The sequence below is a fragment of the Homo sapiens genome, chromosome 3 (assembly GCF_000001405.40).
Source record: "Homo sapiens chromosome 3, GRCh38.p14 Primary Assembly".
Classification (NCBI taxonomy): Eukaryota; Metazoa; Chordata; class Mammalia; order Primates; family Hominidae; genus Homo; species Homo sapiens.
This window is the reverse complement of record NC_000003.12, coordinates 42,166,391-42,184,210: the sequence shown is the minus strand read 5'-3', so window position 1 is coordinate 42,184,210 and position 17,820 is coordinate 42,166,391. Positions and strand designations below refer to the sequence as shown.

Here is a 17,820-nt window from a genome sequence, read left to right as displayed (position 1 = left end):
CCTCTTTAGCACACATTAGGCTGGAATGCATTGAATTCCTTATTTTTGCCTCATGTGAAACAAAAATGTTTAAAGTTACTCTCAAAAACAATTACATGCTTTTCTGTTTTTTTACTTAGAAAAGGCTACTTAGGTTTCATTTAAGAAAAAAACAACTTTCAAAACGGAGACGTTATGCATAAAATTGCCATCCTTCAGAGACAAAAACACTCTTAAGGGCACAGAATTTTCTGTTAGCTGAGCTGATGGCATCAATTAGGCAGAGCCAGTATACAGAGGAAAATTTGGAGTGGCATATAAAGTCAGGGAAGCCTCTGTGGGAAAAAAGACGTCCCCTGATAGTGGACAGACGCCATCAGCAAATGCAGACTTAGCGAGTTGCTACCAGTCAGATTCAACTTGGGTTTTGGCAAGGTGAGGAGAAGTCAGAAAAATTAAATCATTTTAGAAGTCTATGCTAATTACTCTGCTCATCTGGTTTGAAAGAAAGAATGGAAACATGTCGTTTGGGGTAGGAAAAATGCTGGGGAGGAGTCCTAGGTTCTGATCCAACACCTGCTATTAACTACCCACACGGTCCCAGGCAAACGGCTTTTGCTTCACAGGGATAAAGTACACTACAGATTGATTCTTTCTTTCTTTTTTTTTTTTTTTTTTAGACAGAGTCTCACTCTGTCACCCAGGTTGGATACAGTAGCACGATCTCGGCTCACTGTAACCTCCACCTCTCAGGTTCAAGCAATTCTCCTGCCTCAGCCCCTTGGGTAGCTGGGATTACAGGTATGTGCCACCACACCCAGCTAATTTTTGTATTTTTAGTAGAGACAGGGTTTCACCACGTTGGCCAGACTGGTCTCAAACTCCTGATCTCAGGTGATTCGCCCTCCTCGACCTCCCAAAATGCTGGGATTACAGGTGTGAACCACTGCGCCAGGCCAACAGATTCATTTTTCAGGCCACAGGTTTCAAACTCATTAGTGGGTTAAGAAACCATTTTAGTAACAGCAACCGACATTTTGTTTTAACTTAAATACAATGGCACAGAATTGAAAACACCAAAGTGCATTATATGTAATAAGAATATTATTTCATGTTTAAACTGTTGTTTGTCACATATTCACCTATATGAGTACTGGGTCACAACCTAAGCTGTGTTTCTTACAGCAGGTACTGGTCACAAATTGAACTGCTCCAGGTGAACTATCCTACTGTAAACTGGGAGAGTATGGGTTCCCTACTTGAACATAGGTTCCCTCAACTGTTAAATGAAGGTAGAGTAAAGGTGCAGGCTAGCTGAGATATTCTGGAAAAACTCTCTAGCTTTATGATTCACTGAGTTTTAGAATAAAGAGAAAAATCCGCTTTTATTTCTAACGTCTTGGATAGCCACCCAATTATTCCATGCAATAGCAGACATCTCCCTTTGCTAACCACAGGAACTTCACTGCAGTATGAGCGCAGCACTTGAGGTCAAGTACAGTTTGAGAAGACTGGATTCAACAGCACTTTGGCTCCCTCTTGCAGGATGATGGTCTCTCTCCTCCAGGCCTTCCACAGTCCCCAAACTGGCAATGCTGTCACCACAGTCCCACAAGCCAGCCAGGTATCACAGTATCAAAAATGAGCTGTAAATAGGCCAGGCACAGTGGCTCTCACCCGTAATCCCGGCACTTTGGGATCACTTGAGGTCAGGAGTTTGAGACCAGCCTGGCCAACATGGCAAAACCCCGTCTCTGCTAAAAATACAAAAATTGGCTGGGTGTGGTGGCGGGAGCCAGTAATCCCAGCGACTCGGGAGGCTGAGGCAGGAGAATCACTTGAACCCAGGAGGCGGGGCTCACTCACCCCACTGCACTACAGCCTGAGTGTCTGAGAGAGACTCTGTCTCAAAAAAAGAAAAAAAAAAAAAAAGAGAGAGTTGCAAATCCCCCAACTCGTTCCCACAATTTGTGCCTCCCCATCATGACCTTGCCTTTCTGGGAACACAGTACATGTGGAGACGGCCCTCTCACGGGGCAAAGGGGACACGGTGCATCTGCCCCATCAACAGAGATGCTCATCTCTGCACATTTATCCACACTGGTCAGTGTCTACCAAGAAGTTCCCTTGGCCGGGTGCAGTGGCTCATGCCTGTAATCCCAGCACTTTGGAAGGCCAAGGCAGGAGGATCTCCTGAGCACAGGAGTTCAAGACCAGCCTGGGCAACACAGGAGACCCCATCTCAAAACACAAAATTGAAAAAAAAAAAAAAAAAGGTACCTTATTTCATGGCCCTTTGTCATTTCTCAGACTCAACAGCTGTGCTTATTAGGTACCTAGAGGAAAGGATTCAAAGAACTGTGTGAGGGAGACTGCACAGAATTAAAGTCTCCAGAGGCTGACTGAAAATTAGCACCTAGTCCAAGTGGTTTCAGGTGGATTTGGTTAAAACTGCAATACCAATGTTCACTTCTCTTTGGAAGTATAGTCTCCAAAAATCTAACTCAAGTCTACCTAATGTCTCTACTAGAACTAGTTCTCAGACTGAACACTCAGCAGTTGCTTCATCAGTGCTCCTCAGCTCACTACCTGACTACCTGGTCTGCATTGCCTTCATGCATCCAGGCTGCCAAGTTCCAACAAGCGCTGATATTTTGCATGCCTTCGCCACATTTTTTGTTGGTTTTTGATATGGAGTCTCGATCTGTCGCCCAGGCTGGAGTGCAGTGGCATGATCTCAGCTCACTGCAACCTCCGCTACCTAGGTTCTAGTGATTCTCCTGCCTCAGCCTCCCAAGTAGCTGGGACTACAGGCACACGCCACCTCGCCCAGCTAATTTTTGTATTTTTGGTAGAAATGGCGTTTCACCATGTAGGCCAGGCTAGTATCGGACTCCTGACCTCAAGTAATCTGCCCACCTCAGCCTCCCAAAGTGCTGGGATTACAGGCGTGAGCCACTGCGCCCGGCCTTTAGCCGCATTTTGTACGCACATTTCAATGCAAACAAATCAAGCACACAGCATAATAATGAAGATGGCTCAGGCATGGCAAGGGACTGCCAGAGCACCTGAAGGATGCGGAAGGCTTCCAGCACACAAACGGCCAGAAACCAACAGGAATTGGGAGACAGGAAGGGAAAGAGAAACAAGTAGAGCAATGAGCTCAACAATGAAGTCCTTTGTCCTACCTGTCACACCTCAAACCCTGCACCTAAGGGCTGCCTCGCCTCTTCTTGCCCCACTAAGGACAAACACTTCCCTGGTCTATACCAGAAATGTAATCTTTAGAGTAATTTTAAAGAACACTCTCTGCCAGAAGAAAAAGCAAGAAGTCACAGCAAATTGTATAAAAATATACTTAGAATAAGATCTAGTATCTGATAGCACAATAGGGTGGTTACAATTAACAATAATTTATTGCACATTGAAAAATACCTACAAGTATAATTGGAATGTTTGTAACACAAAGGAATGATACATGCTTGAAGTGATGATATCCCTTTCTTTCTCCACCCTCCACCTTTTTTTCCTTTTTCTTTTTTTTTTTTTTTTTTGAGACAGGTCTCACTCTATCGCCTAGGCCGGAGTGCAGTGGCACAATTACAGCTCACCATAGCCTCAAACTCCTGGGCTCAAGCAACCCTCCCACTTCACTTTCTGAGTAGCTAGGACCACAGGCATGCACCACCATGCCTATCTAATTTTTGGAATGCAGGTTTGGGCAAAGTTTTCCTCTTCTTCAGTTACAGCGTCTAACTTTTTGTAGAGACAGGGTCTCACTATGCTACCCAGGCTGGTCTCAAACTTCTGGCCTCAAGCAATCCTCCCACCTCAGCCTCCCAAAGTGTCTGGATTACAGGTGTGAGCCACGTTGCTCAGCCTGATACCCTATTTACCCTGATGTGATTATTATGCAGCATATGCCTTTATCAAAGTATCTCATGTACCCCATAAATATATATACCTACTATGTACTTAAAAAATTGAAAATAAAAAGTTACATTAAAAATATTTATAGATAAAATGAAAATTTAAACAGAAACGTTATTGTAGTGTCTCTAGTTTTTTCTCTTTAATTTTACTGAGGCAACAAGCTGGTTGGGTTTTTCTTTGAGAATTATAAGAATGAAAAAAACCTCCCATTTCTCTAGCCAAAATATGATTAATGTTTACTTCTAAAAACAAGAAAACAGGTTGGGCGTGGCAGCTTATGTCTGTAATCCCAACACTTTGGGAGCCCAAGGTGGGAGAATCAGGAGTTTGAGAAGGCCAGGAGTTTAAGACCAGCCTGGGCAACATAGTGAGACACCATCCCTACCAAAAAAAAAGGATAAAAACAAGAAAACAGCTAGAAGATGGCCACTGGATTAAACTACAATGAGAAAAAGAGACCACAAACAAGTAATTTAGGCCCTTGGAAATAAGGTATTAAAAGAACTAGTTCCTTTATTCCCCCAAGAAATGAGGCAAGGTAGAGCTCATTCTAACTGCCTGCTCCCTCTCCTCACTATGCTTTAAAAGCATAGACTTAAAAAAGACTGTAACTTGAGTCTCAGCCCCTTTTTACCAATGAACTCTTGCACTGACTGACACACCCACTAGAGATTCCAAACAGCCTGCCGCCTACACTTAGCAACTGACTCATCTCATTCACCAATTTCAGGATAAAAAGCATGACTAAGGGGCCAGTGGAATCACCCTCTCTGTAACCGAGGAGGAGGCAAGCTCTGCCCAAAGGTGCATTCCAGACAGCAGCAAGCCCAGGTGAGCCACAGCATCCTCTTCCCCTTAAAACCAGAAGCGAACTCTCCACGCTGGTGGAAGGCTGTGCTTTGGGATCCTGTGCGAATCCCCCATTTGCCTGCCTGTGGCAGGCATGGAAATCATAGCAAGAGAACAGAAGAAACAGAGCCAAAGCCCAGGAAAACCACCGCACAGTGCAACAGCCACATGACTGGGACAGTTAGACTTTAACCAGGACACCCTCCTAGTTCCAAGGAAAGGCAGTAACTCAGGCATGAATCTTATCAGGACAGGAACAGAATGGCATTAGACATGGAACACAAAGACATAAACAGACGCTGTTGCCATGAAGACCCTTTAAAAATAAAACAGGCTGGGTACGGTGGTTCATGCCTATAATCCCAGCACTTTGGGAGGTCAAGGTGAGAGAATTTTTTAATTTAAAAATGTGAGAGATTCAAATAAACAGTGGCTGTAGTTTGCTTCTAATTTTGTTTTGTTTTGTTTTATTTTTTGAGACAGAGTCTCGCTCTGGTGCCCAGGTGGAGTGCAGTGACATGATCTCGGTGCACGGCAATCTCCACCTCCAGAGCTCAAGCGATCCTCCTACCTCAGCCTCCCGAGTAGCTGGGATTACAGGCACAGGCCACCATACCTGGCTAATTTTTGTATTTTTTGTAGACACATGGTTTGGCCATGTTGGCAAGGCTGGTCTCAAACTCCTGTGCTCAAGTGATCTACCTGTCTTGGCCTCCCAAAGTGCTGGGATTTATAGGCATAAGACACTGCACCAGGCCAGGAGGACTGTTTGAGCCTCAGAGTTTAATATCAGCCTGGGCAATATAAGGAGATCCCGCCTCCACAAAAAATAAAAAATAAATTGTTCATCCAGCTGGATGAACAAAACAAACAGGACTATGGGGTGACTCCTATGCCTGGGGCTCAGCAAGGGCACAGACTACCTGGGGATGGAGTTGGGGCCATCTTCAAAGGTCCCCGGCAGGCCCTGCAGCACAAGACTGAGAAGCAGGAAAGAACCAACGCAGTTAAATGCCATAGAAGGCCAAGGGCGGGAGAGCAGGAGCCATGTCCCCAGTGACAGTGAAGGTTCAGGACAGTGAAGAGGAGGGTTCAGGACCTTGAGCAATGGGTGGCCTTGACTACACAGCGAGGAGCTTTACAGAAAGGGTGAGCGGGTCACAGAGGGCATGGACGGTGGCAGCTGCAAGGAAGAGTAAAGCAGAGAGAAGCTACAATCTCACTGCTGAGGCCCCAAGAGCTTGAGTGGTGGCCGCCTTGGAATAAAAATAAAGGTACAGATTAGGACCCCTCTCAGAAGACTCAATGACCCGAACGGGGTGATGAGCGGGTGCCGGAAGCACTTTGTAAGATCTGGAGAGCACTGTTGGGGGAAACAGATGCAGCAGAAAGGGGTCAGTGATTAACCATTTTCAAAAGTCGGTGGTGCCAACCAAGGCAGCCTGCCACGTGGCTAACACCAAAGACAGCTGCAACTGGAGTGACACCCAAAGGCTGAAGGTCGGTCCCCCAAAATACCGCCCTTGACACCCTGTCACATAGCCAAAAACCCTGACATCACTTCTGGGGAGCTGATGAGTTTGTGACTTCCCCACGTCAGAGGATCAAACAGGAGTGGATGGCAGGACCAGGAAGAGAATGCTGGATGTGCAGCGGTAGAGACATGGGAAGAGAGACACACAAAAACGGTGGAAGAATGCCACACACTCCAGAAAAACCTCTGGGAAACGAGTCTGGCCCAGTTTCTGTCTGAGCTTCAACCCTGACCTCCCACTGGCTGAAAACAGTAACAATGATTTCTGTGTCCTCCACATCATAGTCACACGCCCCAAAATCATTCCAGATTCCAGATCAGAAGCAAGGGTCTAGAAGGCAGCACCTGTCCATTTAAGGCCTGATTCAGTGAAGGGGGCAGTGCATTAATGATGGAGACTTATTCAACAAATACTAAGAACCCACCATGTTCTGGCCTGTTCCAGGCATGCACATACACATATTATACTCATCTGTTTCTAGAGACCTTCATAATACTTAATTCTCAATTGCAACAGAATACCGAGAAATTCAGAAAACTACAGTCTCTAAAATACAGGCAGCTCACCTAATCTTAAGCAACTTTCTTAAATTTTTCTTGCCATGCTTATTTTACTTATTTCCACGCTGACACTGCACAATATTCCACTAGCCTAAGTAAAAACTTAAATACATTAGGAAGACACAGATATGATATATTTTTCTGACATTTTTTGGATGCACTTAAAATATATCATTAGTCAATGTTTCAGGATTTTTTATACTTACAACTGGATATTCTAACAAGTATTTAAACACACCACATTTGGTGCCATTAATATATTCCTTTAAAATATCTGCACACAATTACAGCTATAAAGGCCTACATAGCTACTAGTTCAAAAAGTAAAGCCATTAAATTATACCTCGAAAGAGACCAATTTCCAAGATTCCTCACTGAAACAGGTGATAAGGCATGCTTTAATCAGTATCCATGAAAACCAGTCAATTATAAACAACTCTTTTGCCTTCCCCTGGAGCACTTACCTCCTCAAGAAGCCGAGTGACAGCATCTATGTCATTATATGTCTTAGTCATCTGGCCAACTCTTTCAGCACATAAAACTGTAAGAAATAAAAATGACAATGAGACTCCCAATGTCACAAACCTGCCAAACAAATGACTCATCTAAAAAAGTGCCCCTAATGTTGTGCCTGCACATTAGACACAGAGGGTCACTGGCTCGCTGGGTTCAACCCGCAATGTACTCACCACCACCAGACTTCATTTCCCAGTTCCAACGACTGGAGGATGAGTCTGGGGGTAGGGGGACTCGTAACCCCTGTGAAACCTTGACATTGTGTGTCTGTGTGTATGAGCATGTGCTGAGGGTGAAGCAATGGAGTGGAAGGGGGTCTGGCCTCACAGATATTCAGCAAACTGAAGTAGGTGGGGTGGGGGCCAGTAGCACAGCCACCCATGTGTGAATGATCAGAAAGGCCTGTAGGATTTAGACTCCACTAACCATACAGACCCAACCATACGAACAGACTGGGATCCTTCAGAAAGCAGCTGTTGGCATAATTATTAAACAATAGTCTTAAACTGATAATTTCATAATGGCATAGCCCCCTCCTCCTCAAGTGGCCTACATTCTAAGGTTATGCAACCAGCTCCATACCATGAAAACTAGGTTGTTATTTTTTAAATATACATTAAAAAGACTACTATGATTGCACACACACACACACAGAGTAATATTTCATTACATGTACAATTTACTGTGGTCATACAAGGCTGCACACAAGCACTTTAGGACTATGGGTCTTTGTTCTTCTTCCGTTGGAGAAATGGGTTGTGAAACAAAAGAACGCTTTTGTCTGCTAAAGATACATCAGGGTTGTTTTATTTTAAATCAGTGACAAGGAACTGATTCGCCGCTCAACAAACACCAAGAAGGTAGCGTAAGTTTTATTCTATTGGGGGAGGAGTGAATATAAATGGATTTATGGCCAGCCAACGTGCAAAATTTTTTGAAACCTGTCACTTTGGGACTAAATAAATAACTTCTTAGTAATGTTTTGTAACTAAGACTTCAGTGAATAATTCTGTTAAGAGTCAAAGCTTTCCTAATGACCCACATTCAGTAACAGCCCATGCGACACATTTGGGAATTGAAGTGTATTACTAAGTCAAACTCAGCAGCATTACAAATGGCAAACAGCAACTGGAATTCAATAGGTCTCTGAATATTTTATTAAATGCAAGTAGAGATCATCCTAGTAAATTAGCTCAGAGAAATCGGATCTGTTGGAATGATTTTCTAACTTAGGGAGGAGACCTGAAATCTGGTTCTAAATCTGAAACCCTACCAAGACAGTGCCACCAGAGCCAGCAGACAAGACCCCTCCACCCAACACTTTCATGAGATCCCTCCTGTCCAAGCGTGGGGGGAAATATGCTGCCTCAGACAGAGCTGCCAGGGAGGGAGAAGCAAGGGAGATTTATAAGGGTAGCTTTAAACCAGGATCTAATTTGATGTAGATGAAGTCCAGCTCAAATTGCTCTAGATAGTCCATCAGCTCGAGGTCACACAAGTGCTTAAGTGAAGACTCCTATGCTACCAACCCGAGTTAGTCTTCTTCACGCACAGCTGTGATGGTCTGCAGGCGTGCAGATACAAACCCTGGGGCCCCCCAGCCAGCACGCCAAAGCATCTGCAGCACCCTTTATACACCAGGTAACAGACCACAGCAACTAAGTGGTCTCTGTGTTTAAATTTGTGTTGTCACTTGAGGGCCTGCTTATCCCCACTCACCGGCGCCCACTCTCCTCAAAAAACTGAGTCCTCTGCCTTCCTGGAAAAAAAGAAAACTGGGCTACCTTTTAACTAACCTGGCTCTATTATCTGTACAAGAAGATTCAGAGCTGCTATTTCTCTAACACTATATTATTTAGAGATAATACTCAAATTTTTAAGGCTAAGTTTTTGAATTAAGGTAACTGTAATTATTCAGATAGTCAGTCATGTGTAGATAACCACAAGCAGACAGAAGAAATAACACAGAGGGGGCCGGGTGAGGTGGCTAATGGCTGTTATCCCAGCACTTTGCGAGGCCAAGGCAGATGGACCACTTGAGGTTAGAAATTCGAGACTAGCCTGGGCAACATGGCAAAACCCTGTCTCCACTAAAAAAAAAATTTTTGTATATATATAAAATTTTATATATATTTTTGTATATATATAATTTTGCATATATATAAAAATTTTGTGTGTATATATATATATACACACAAAAATTAGCCAGGTGTGGTGGCACACACCTGTAGTCCCAGCTACTCGGGAGGCTGAGGCAGGAGAATCACTTGAACCCGGGAGGCAGAAGTCGTGCCACTGCACTCCAGCCTGGGCAGCAGGGCAGGACTCCATCTTGAAGAAATAATACAGAGGGATCCTGTATACCCTTTATCCAGTTCCCCCAATGGTAACATTCTGCAAGATCATAATATCCCAACCAGGATATCAGCACTGATACAATCCATAACTTTTCCTCAGAGTTCCCGTTTTACTTGCACTTATTTGTGTGCACATGTGTGTATTAAGCTCTATGTAATTTTATTACCTGTGTTGGTTCATGTATCTACCACTTACAAGGACCCCTTGTGTTGCTATTTTATAAAGCTTTAAAATATTTTAAAAATTGAACCCAATAAAATGCACACCTGTCTCTACTAAAAACACAAAAATTAGCCAGCCGTGGTGGCAGATGCCTGTAATCCTAACTTGGGAGGCTGAGGCAGGAGAATTGCTTGGACCCGGGAGGTGGAGGTTGCAGTGAGCTGACCTTTACTAAGCACAGTGACCATGGCCAGGCACCATTCATAACCCTCTATATGGATTATTTTATGTAATCTTCAGAGCAATACTATAAGGGGTAAGCACTTATATTAACACCATTTTACAACAGAAAACTAAGGCCCAGAGACGCTGAATAACTCACCCAATGTCACACAGCTAGCAGGTGGCAAATGTCAAAATAACAGACTCTCGGTAGAGGTAGCAGCTAACACCGATGGTGCCCCTATCATGTCAAGGGATTTAACATGCTTTCTCAATTAATCTTCACAACAACCCTGCAGGGTAGTCGCGATGACTACTCCACAGATAAGAAAACTGAGGCTCTGAGACATTAAGAATCTGGATGTTAAGGACCCCACTGAGGTCACAGAGAATGAGGCTGCATTGCAGAGACTGCACCGAGGCCAGTCTGGCTCCTGTACTAAAACGGAAGACCATAAAGGACACGAGAGCAAGGCACAAACCATCGATGTGTAGGAAGTGTGTAAACAGAGCGAGCAGCATTTGGGCCTAGGGGAAAGAAAGAACCCTGACCTTGGGTTCAGAGGCTTAGGTTTTCTCAGGAGACTCTATCCAAGCCAAGGGGCTCTGAGCAGCCACCAACTAACTTCTAGGTTTTAGATTTCCTGTTCCAAGAAATAAGGAAGCAAGAGTGAGACCAATGAAGGTGAAAAAATAATAAACCATGCCTTCAGACAGCATAAACACAGGTTATGCTTTTCAAATACCAACTTCCTAGGCACTAAATCTTCAATCAACCGTGGTCAAGTTTCTCTCTCTATAAGAATGTATTTCAAAGAGAAGTTCCATTTCTGACCCAAGGAGTGCTACCAAATAAATCCACTTCCACCCAAAAGATGTTTCAAAAAAGAAAGAAAAGCAAAATAAAGGAGCCACCATAAACCTCTACGATAATTTTTTTTTCTTTTGTTAGAGACAGAGTCTCGCTCTGTCGCCCAGGCTGGAGTACCATGGCGCAATCTTGGCTCACTGCAACCTCGGCCTCCCTGGTTCAAGCGATTCTCCCACCTCAGCCTCCCAAGTAGCTGGGATTACAGGTGCCTGCCACTATGCCCAGCTAATTAGTGTATTTTTAGTAGAGATGGGGTTTCACCAGGTTGGCCAGGCTGGTCTCGAACTCCTGACCTCAGGTGATCCACCTGCCTCGGCCTCCCAAAGTGCTGGCATTACAGGCATGACCCACCGTGCTCAGTCTCTATGATAATTTAATATAAGAAAATTATGGTCCATCTCCTAGAAAAAGAAGTTAAATGCAACTTGCTGCCTACCCACCATAGTAAAATACACACGCCTCACCTCTGACTAACACCAAACAACCATTACCACGCACCAAGCTCTGCACTGAACAAGGCAGGACACCTGCCCTCCTGGGGCACACAGAAAACAGGGCAGCCTGGAGGATGGGGCTCAGGGGGTTCGAAGCCTGACAAGTAGCTTTAAGAAGGGTGGAATTAAATGGAAAACCACTAGAGAGTTTTTGAAGGGGGGTTATGCAATAAGGTTTATATTTCAGAAGCATTTTGGCTCCAGTGTGCAGCAATGGGGGAGGGGGTGCAAGGCAATTTAGATTGACAAGCATTGAGGCTGTTGGATTAATGCAAGGAAATTGTAGGTGGCAAGGAGTGGGCTCTTATCCTGAGATTTAAGAACTAAAACTGAGTGGGAGGTAAATCAAAAAGCACTGATCAGGGCTTCTCACTGGGACAACAAGGACAAGAGTGATGTCCCCTTTCAAGATGGGCATGAGATGGAAAGTCAGAGGCAAGATGCGGTGCCCCCAAGAAACCACTGGCACTGGGACAGTAGTTGATGTCACTGTGTAATAATGTGCCAGGCAGAGGGCTGCCCACAACCCACAGTGGCAGGAGGTCTGCCTGACAGAAACACCCTCCTAGGAGCTGGAGGAGGGAGATTTTTGGTTTGGGAGAATCCACTTTGAGATAAGAGGAGAATCAAGTCCTTCTTCTTGGGATGCCAAGTAAAGTAAGGAATTACGAAGCCAAATTCAAACGAGGAGCCCTGGGCTGGCTGATCAGAGAGAGGGAGACATATGACTGGGCTGTCACAGCTAATGGGGACGGAGAGGGGGGATGGAGGTGGAGTGAGCTCCATGGAGTGCCTTAGTCTGAAAACAAGTAAAGCAGCCTTTATGCTAAGTTAAACCATGCTCAAAACAATTTTAAGAATAAATGTTGGCACCCATCTTCCAGCATCCAGGAGATGCCAGCCAAAAAACCCCAAACATACGGTGTGCAGGCCCAGAAGAGAACAGAAACATGCCCCTGCCTGATGCCAAGGAGATCTGGCCAGTGGGAAGCTCAGGAGTGACTGGAATTGAAGACCCCGAGGAAAACCCCATGGGAAGAAAACAAAGGTGGTGTGGCATTGGGGTTTCTATCTTGACACTGTCCAGGGCTTCTGAATGAGCCGGGAGAAGTGGGAAGGAGCAGAGCTCAGGGAGTGGTGGGGCTGGAGCAAAAGATCTAAGACCCAGGCAGAAGGCAGAACCTAGAGGCCTAACCCGAGGGGTGGGTAGGGAGAATCTCTACAGTTCCATCACAGCAACCTGCCCTCCCCAAGGGACCCTGTGTCTCTATGGTGTGTGTCAAATTAACAAGCTTGATAAAAGCTTTCTTGACATTTTGGTCTTATCAGTCTTCTTTAAGAAAATATAGTTAGAAAACCTCACTTCCCATTCATGTATTTTGGAGGAAAAGATTCTCATAACGTTGTTAGAACGAATAACTCTCATCACTACTTAACCTAATTCTGGTAACATTCCTCCCATTGATGTCAGCTCTACATATCTCTGGCATGAATAAATGAATATTTTACACACACATGTACATATGTGTGTACATATAAAAAGAAAAACCTCCCAAACCCTCAAGAAGACACTTATAACTCAAACACCAAGTAGCAACGGGTAGAAAAGATATTCAGGGCCACGCGCGGTGGCTCACGCCTGTAATCCCAGCACTTTGGGAGGCCGAGGCAGGCGGATCATGAGGTCAGGAGATCAAGACCACGGTGAAATCCCGTCTCTACTAAAAATACAAAAAAAAAATTAGCAGGGTGTGGTGGCAGGCACCTGTAGTCCCAGCCACTGGGGAGGCTGAGGCAGGAGAATGGTGTGAACCCAGGAGGCGGAGCTTGCAGTAAGCCGAGATCATGCCACTGCACTCCAGCCTGGGCGACAGAGCAAGACTCTGTCTCAAAAAAAAAAAAAAAAAGATATTCAAGACTGCCTGATATATTTGCATTTGGGGCTGTTTGCATTCTGCCTTACATATAGGTCATTTCTTTAATTAAAACAGTGTTTCCCAAAGTTTTATCAAGAAACTGAGCTCCACCCTCCCCTCAATAATTTTTCCTCCTATCTTCTACACCTTAGCATCAGTGTTTTTAAAAGTCAATTTTCTATAATTTTCATTATAAAAACTGCAAAGGGATTGAATAAACATTCAAAGTAGACACGTATCCCTAGCAATTCTGATATACCCAGTTGAAACAGAGCTGGTACTTAGGTGCCAAAGAAAAGAATGGTCCACAAACCAGTTGATTACCTCTCGCTTTTGATAGCAGCAGCAGCTGTCAGGATGAAAAAGCAATACTACATTTGGCACCTGATGCCCCAGGAAGTAAACTTAATAAGCACTTACTGTCTGCACTGTTCACAGGGGCAGGGGACAGAGGTTCAGAACCTGGGAGCCAACCTGGGGTCCCAGAACCTGGGAACTAAAAAGCTTTCCATAAAATTCTAAATGAGTCACCAGTCATCCAAGTTTCCAGGCATTACAAAATAGATGTCCTTTAAAGGTTTGTTAAAAGCTTGTAGCTTTTGAACTTAATTAGTCCCTGCTCTGCTTAATAATCTTCCCCAGCTCTTCTACCTCCTACAAGCAGCAGCCTCAACACACAGGACATACAGGGACCATCCCTACCTGGCCCAGCCCAACCCTCCCGCCTCGTCCCCTGCCACCCAAGCTCACTCTTCACCATAGCTCCTCCACACCCAGTGATGCCACTCTCAGATGTCTGGCCTCGCACTTGTGTGCCTGCCATTTCCTTCTCGTACGGACTGTCTTTCTCTCACTTCTCCATCTGGGAATTTCCTGCTCTTCCCACAGGCCAAAAAGAAGGTGCCTCCCTGTAGCTGACACCCTATCCAAGTGTCAGCTCTTCTGCCCACTTTTGTAAAATCTGTAGTTTTTACAGTCTGCCCAGACACCTAGACCAGGCTGATTTGGCAAAGCACTTTTGATCAGGGGAACATCTTCAAATGGCTGTTGTGACTCAGCTTACAGCAGCAATGCCCACTTATCTCTGCCAGATACAGTGCTGAGAGTAACTTATACTTTTATCCCCACTTTTTTTTTTTTTTTTGAGATGGAGTTTTGCTCTTGTTGCTCAGGCTGGAGTGCAATGGCGCGATCTCAGCTCACTGCAACCTCTGCCTCCCAGGTTCAAGTGATTCTCCTGCCTCAGCCTCCCTAGTAGCTGTATCACCACATTTTATATGACAGGGAAACTGAGGCTCTGAGAAGTCAGGTGAATTGCCTAAGGTCACGAAGACTTTTTAAAGTCTCCTAAGTATCTACTCAAGATAAATGGAACCATATATGCACACACAAACATAAACATATGTATATAAGCATTCATAGCAGCATCATTCATTATAGCCAAAAAAGTCCATCAATTGGTGAATGAATAAACACAGTAGGTATGTCCATACAATGGAATATTGAGTCATAAAAAGGAATGAAGTTCATGCATGCTATAGTATGAACCCAAAATCCTTATGCTCAGAAAAAAAAACACACGAAAATACCACATATTGTATGATTCCATTCATATAATGTATAAGAAAAGGAAAATTATAGAGATAGATAGATCACTTAAAAAAAAAAAGAAAGAAAGAAAATAGATCACTTTGCTGGGCACCATGGCTCATGCCTGTAATCCCAGCACTTTGGGAGGCCAAGGCGGGTAGATCACCTGACGTCAGGAGTTCAAGACCAGCGTGGCCAACATGGTGAAACCTCATCTCTACTAAAAATACAAAAATTAGCCGGGCATGGTGGCACATGCCTTTAATCGCAGCTACTTGGGAGGCTGACGCAGGAGAATCGCTTGAACCTGGGAGGCACAGGTTGCAGTGAGCTGAGATCCTGCCACTGCACTCCAGCCTGGGTGACAGAGTGAGACTCCATCTCAAAAAATAACAACAATTTTTAAAAAGTAGATCACTTGAGCCCAAGAGTTTGAGACCAGCCTGGACAATATAGCAAATCCCCATCTCTACAAAAAATAAAAACATTAGCCAGATGTGGTGGCATGCCTATAGTCCTAGCTACCCAGGAGGCTGAGGTGGGTGAGCCCAGGAGGTGGAGGTTGCAGTGAGCCAAGATTGTGCCACTGCACTCCAGCCTAGGTAACAGAGTGAAGACTCTGTCTCAAAAAAAAAGAAAGCAGATTAGTGGTTGCCAAGGATCAGAAGTGGGAAATGGGAGCTAACTGTAAACAAGCACAAAGGATCTTTGCTGGGGGAATGCAAAGTTCTAAAACTGAATTATGGTGATGGTTGCACAACTCAGTGAATTTAACGAAAATCTTTGAATTGTCTAGTTAAAATGGGTGATATTTAAGTTACCAAATAAATGACACTCAAGCAAGCATCCCCGAACCATGCCATATTCCAGCCACTTCCCTGTTACATGACAATGTAAAAACATTATTGTATTGTCTCAACCCTTGACTTGGACTTCCTTGGGTCCACAATGATGTTATCACATAGCAAAATTGTTTAGAAATGGCAAATCACCCACTAAGAAACTAGCACTGATAAACAGCACATAAAGGTACTAATCTGCCCCACTTAGACTAGACTATTTTAAAATTAGAAAATTGTTATTAAATAAAATTTAGTCAGATCACAGAAATAATTTCATGATACAGCCATAACTGAGAAGAATTTGACTTTGAACTCTTTTCCTAGGCATAAACCTCTTCTATCTTCTCCCAAGTTATAGCCACCTCCTTGAAGGCTTCGCCAAGTCTCTCACTTGCCTGTTGACCCTCAGTAATTTAGACTTGACCAAATAGTCCTAGTGAATTAACTACTAAGCCCTAAGACACACATTACTTGGTTTTTTTGTTGTTGTTGCTGTTGTTTTTGAGATGGAGTGTCGGCTGTGACGCCCAGGCTGGAGTGCAGTGGCGTGATCTCAGCTCACTGCAAGCTCTGCCTCACGGGTTCATGCCATTCTCCTGCCTCAGCCTCCCGAGTAGCTGGGACCACAGGTGCCCACCACCACGCCCAGCTAATTTTTTGTATTTTTAGTAGAGACAGGGTTTCATCATGTTAGCCAGGATGGTCTCGATCTCCTGACCTCGTGATCCACCCGCCTCGGCCTCCCAAAGTGCTGGGATTACAGGCGTGAGCCACCGTGCCTGGCCCATTACTTGGTTTTAAAAACAAAACAAAATGTAGCTATTTTGATGAAGACTTTGAAGTGGCCACTGGAACGGGGTGAGGGCCCACAGTACTTGGTAATAGAAAACAATGCTCATTTCTCAGCAATTACAATAAAAAGAAAGAACAATTTCTTTTTATTCTTATCTCAGTGTCCTCGTGTCAAAAATGGTTACAGCAGGGCAGGCAGAACAAACCCAACAAATGCTTACAAATGTCCCTTCCCACCTGGGCTGTTTAGGTCACATGAAGGCAGCTGAGTCTTTCTCATTTTGGGCCACAGTTGACACTCAAAAAGCAAAACAAAACTCTGTTCTACTTGCAAAGAAGAGCTCATTTCTAATCGACACCCCAGAGAGGGGTAAAAACAAAGCTCGGGTGCACAGTGCATGCCCTCAAGATGAGCATGAGTCCTGGTGAGTCTATCCCGGCCACAAGTCATCTGAACGCCAGACAGGCCTGAGGGGGCATGATAAGCCAGCGCCTCTTACTTGGGAGGAGCAGTAGCAGTCTGCCCGTTTGCTTCTGGCCTAGGACTACGCCACTTAATTGATGCCATCCTTTTAATGCATCTGTCTTAGCAACTCCCCATCTCCTTGTTCTTTGTGTCACTTTGTTTTTGCAGGCAGCCTTGTGGCCGGAACAGTAGTGGGGGCAGAGACCGACCCAGAGCCGTACGAACAATGGTCTGTACAGCCATTACCCATGTCTGTGTGGTGCCTAGTCTCTGCACTAGGAGGCAGGAGCATGGTGCCACTTGCCAAGGACAGAGGCCAAAACAGCACAGCTATGGCTTCCTTTTATTGCTTATCAGTATCACTATTAATGAAGTTGTAGTGTGACTATTCTACTGGCTCACTTTCCCTTGCCTTGCAGGCTAAGAGCAGGACACCAATACAAGTTATTTAAGAAGCAGAGAAGAATAAATGAAATGAGTATACTACTACTGGGTATCTACAATGTGCCAACTGCTTTCCTAGGCATTTTACAAGTATTATTTCACTTAAAACTCAGAAGAAGCCCACAACATACATATGAGCCTCATTTAACAAACCAGACAGAAAGGCCAGTGGCTCGTCCAAGGTCGAGAGAGACACAACCATGGACTTGGAGCAGGTTTGCTAGATGCTGTAATCAGCCACCCTGCCCCAGACTGGAACACCCAGTGTTGATCTATAGTGGCCATTTATCA

General features: G+C 44.6%; 1 protein-coding gene across 34 annotated transcripts in view; it reads right to left on the bottom strand.

Annotated features, from left to right (window-relative positions):
* TRAK1 (trafficking kinesin protein 1) overlaps positions 1–17,820 on the bottom strand; it is a 212,798-nt gene that overhangs the window by 41,680 nt on the left and 153,298 nt on the right. For all 34 annotated transcript variants that reach the window (NR_146089.1, XM_047447718.1, XM_017005909.2 and 31 more), the window contains one exon: positions 7,321–7,397. Coding sequence is in view for 33 of the 34 variants with exons in the window: in XM_024453400.2 (XP_024309168.1) it covers positions 7,321–7,397 (77 nt within the window). In the remaining variant the exon portion in view is untranslated. The remainder of the gene's footprint in view (positions 1–7,320; positions 7,398–17,820) is intronic.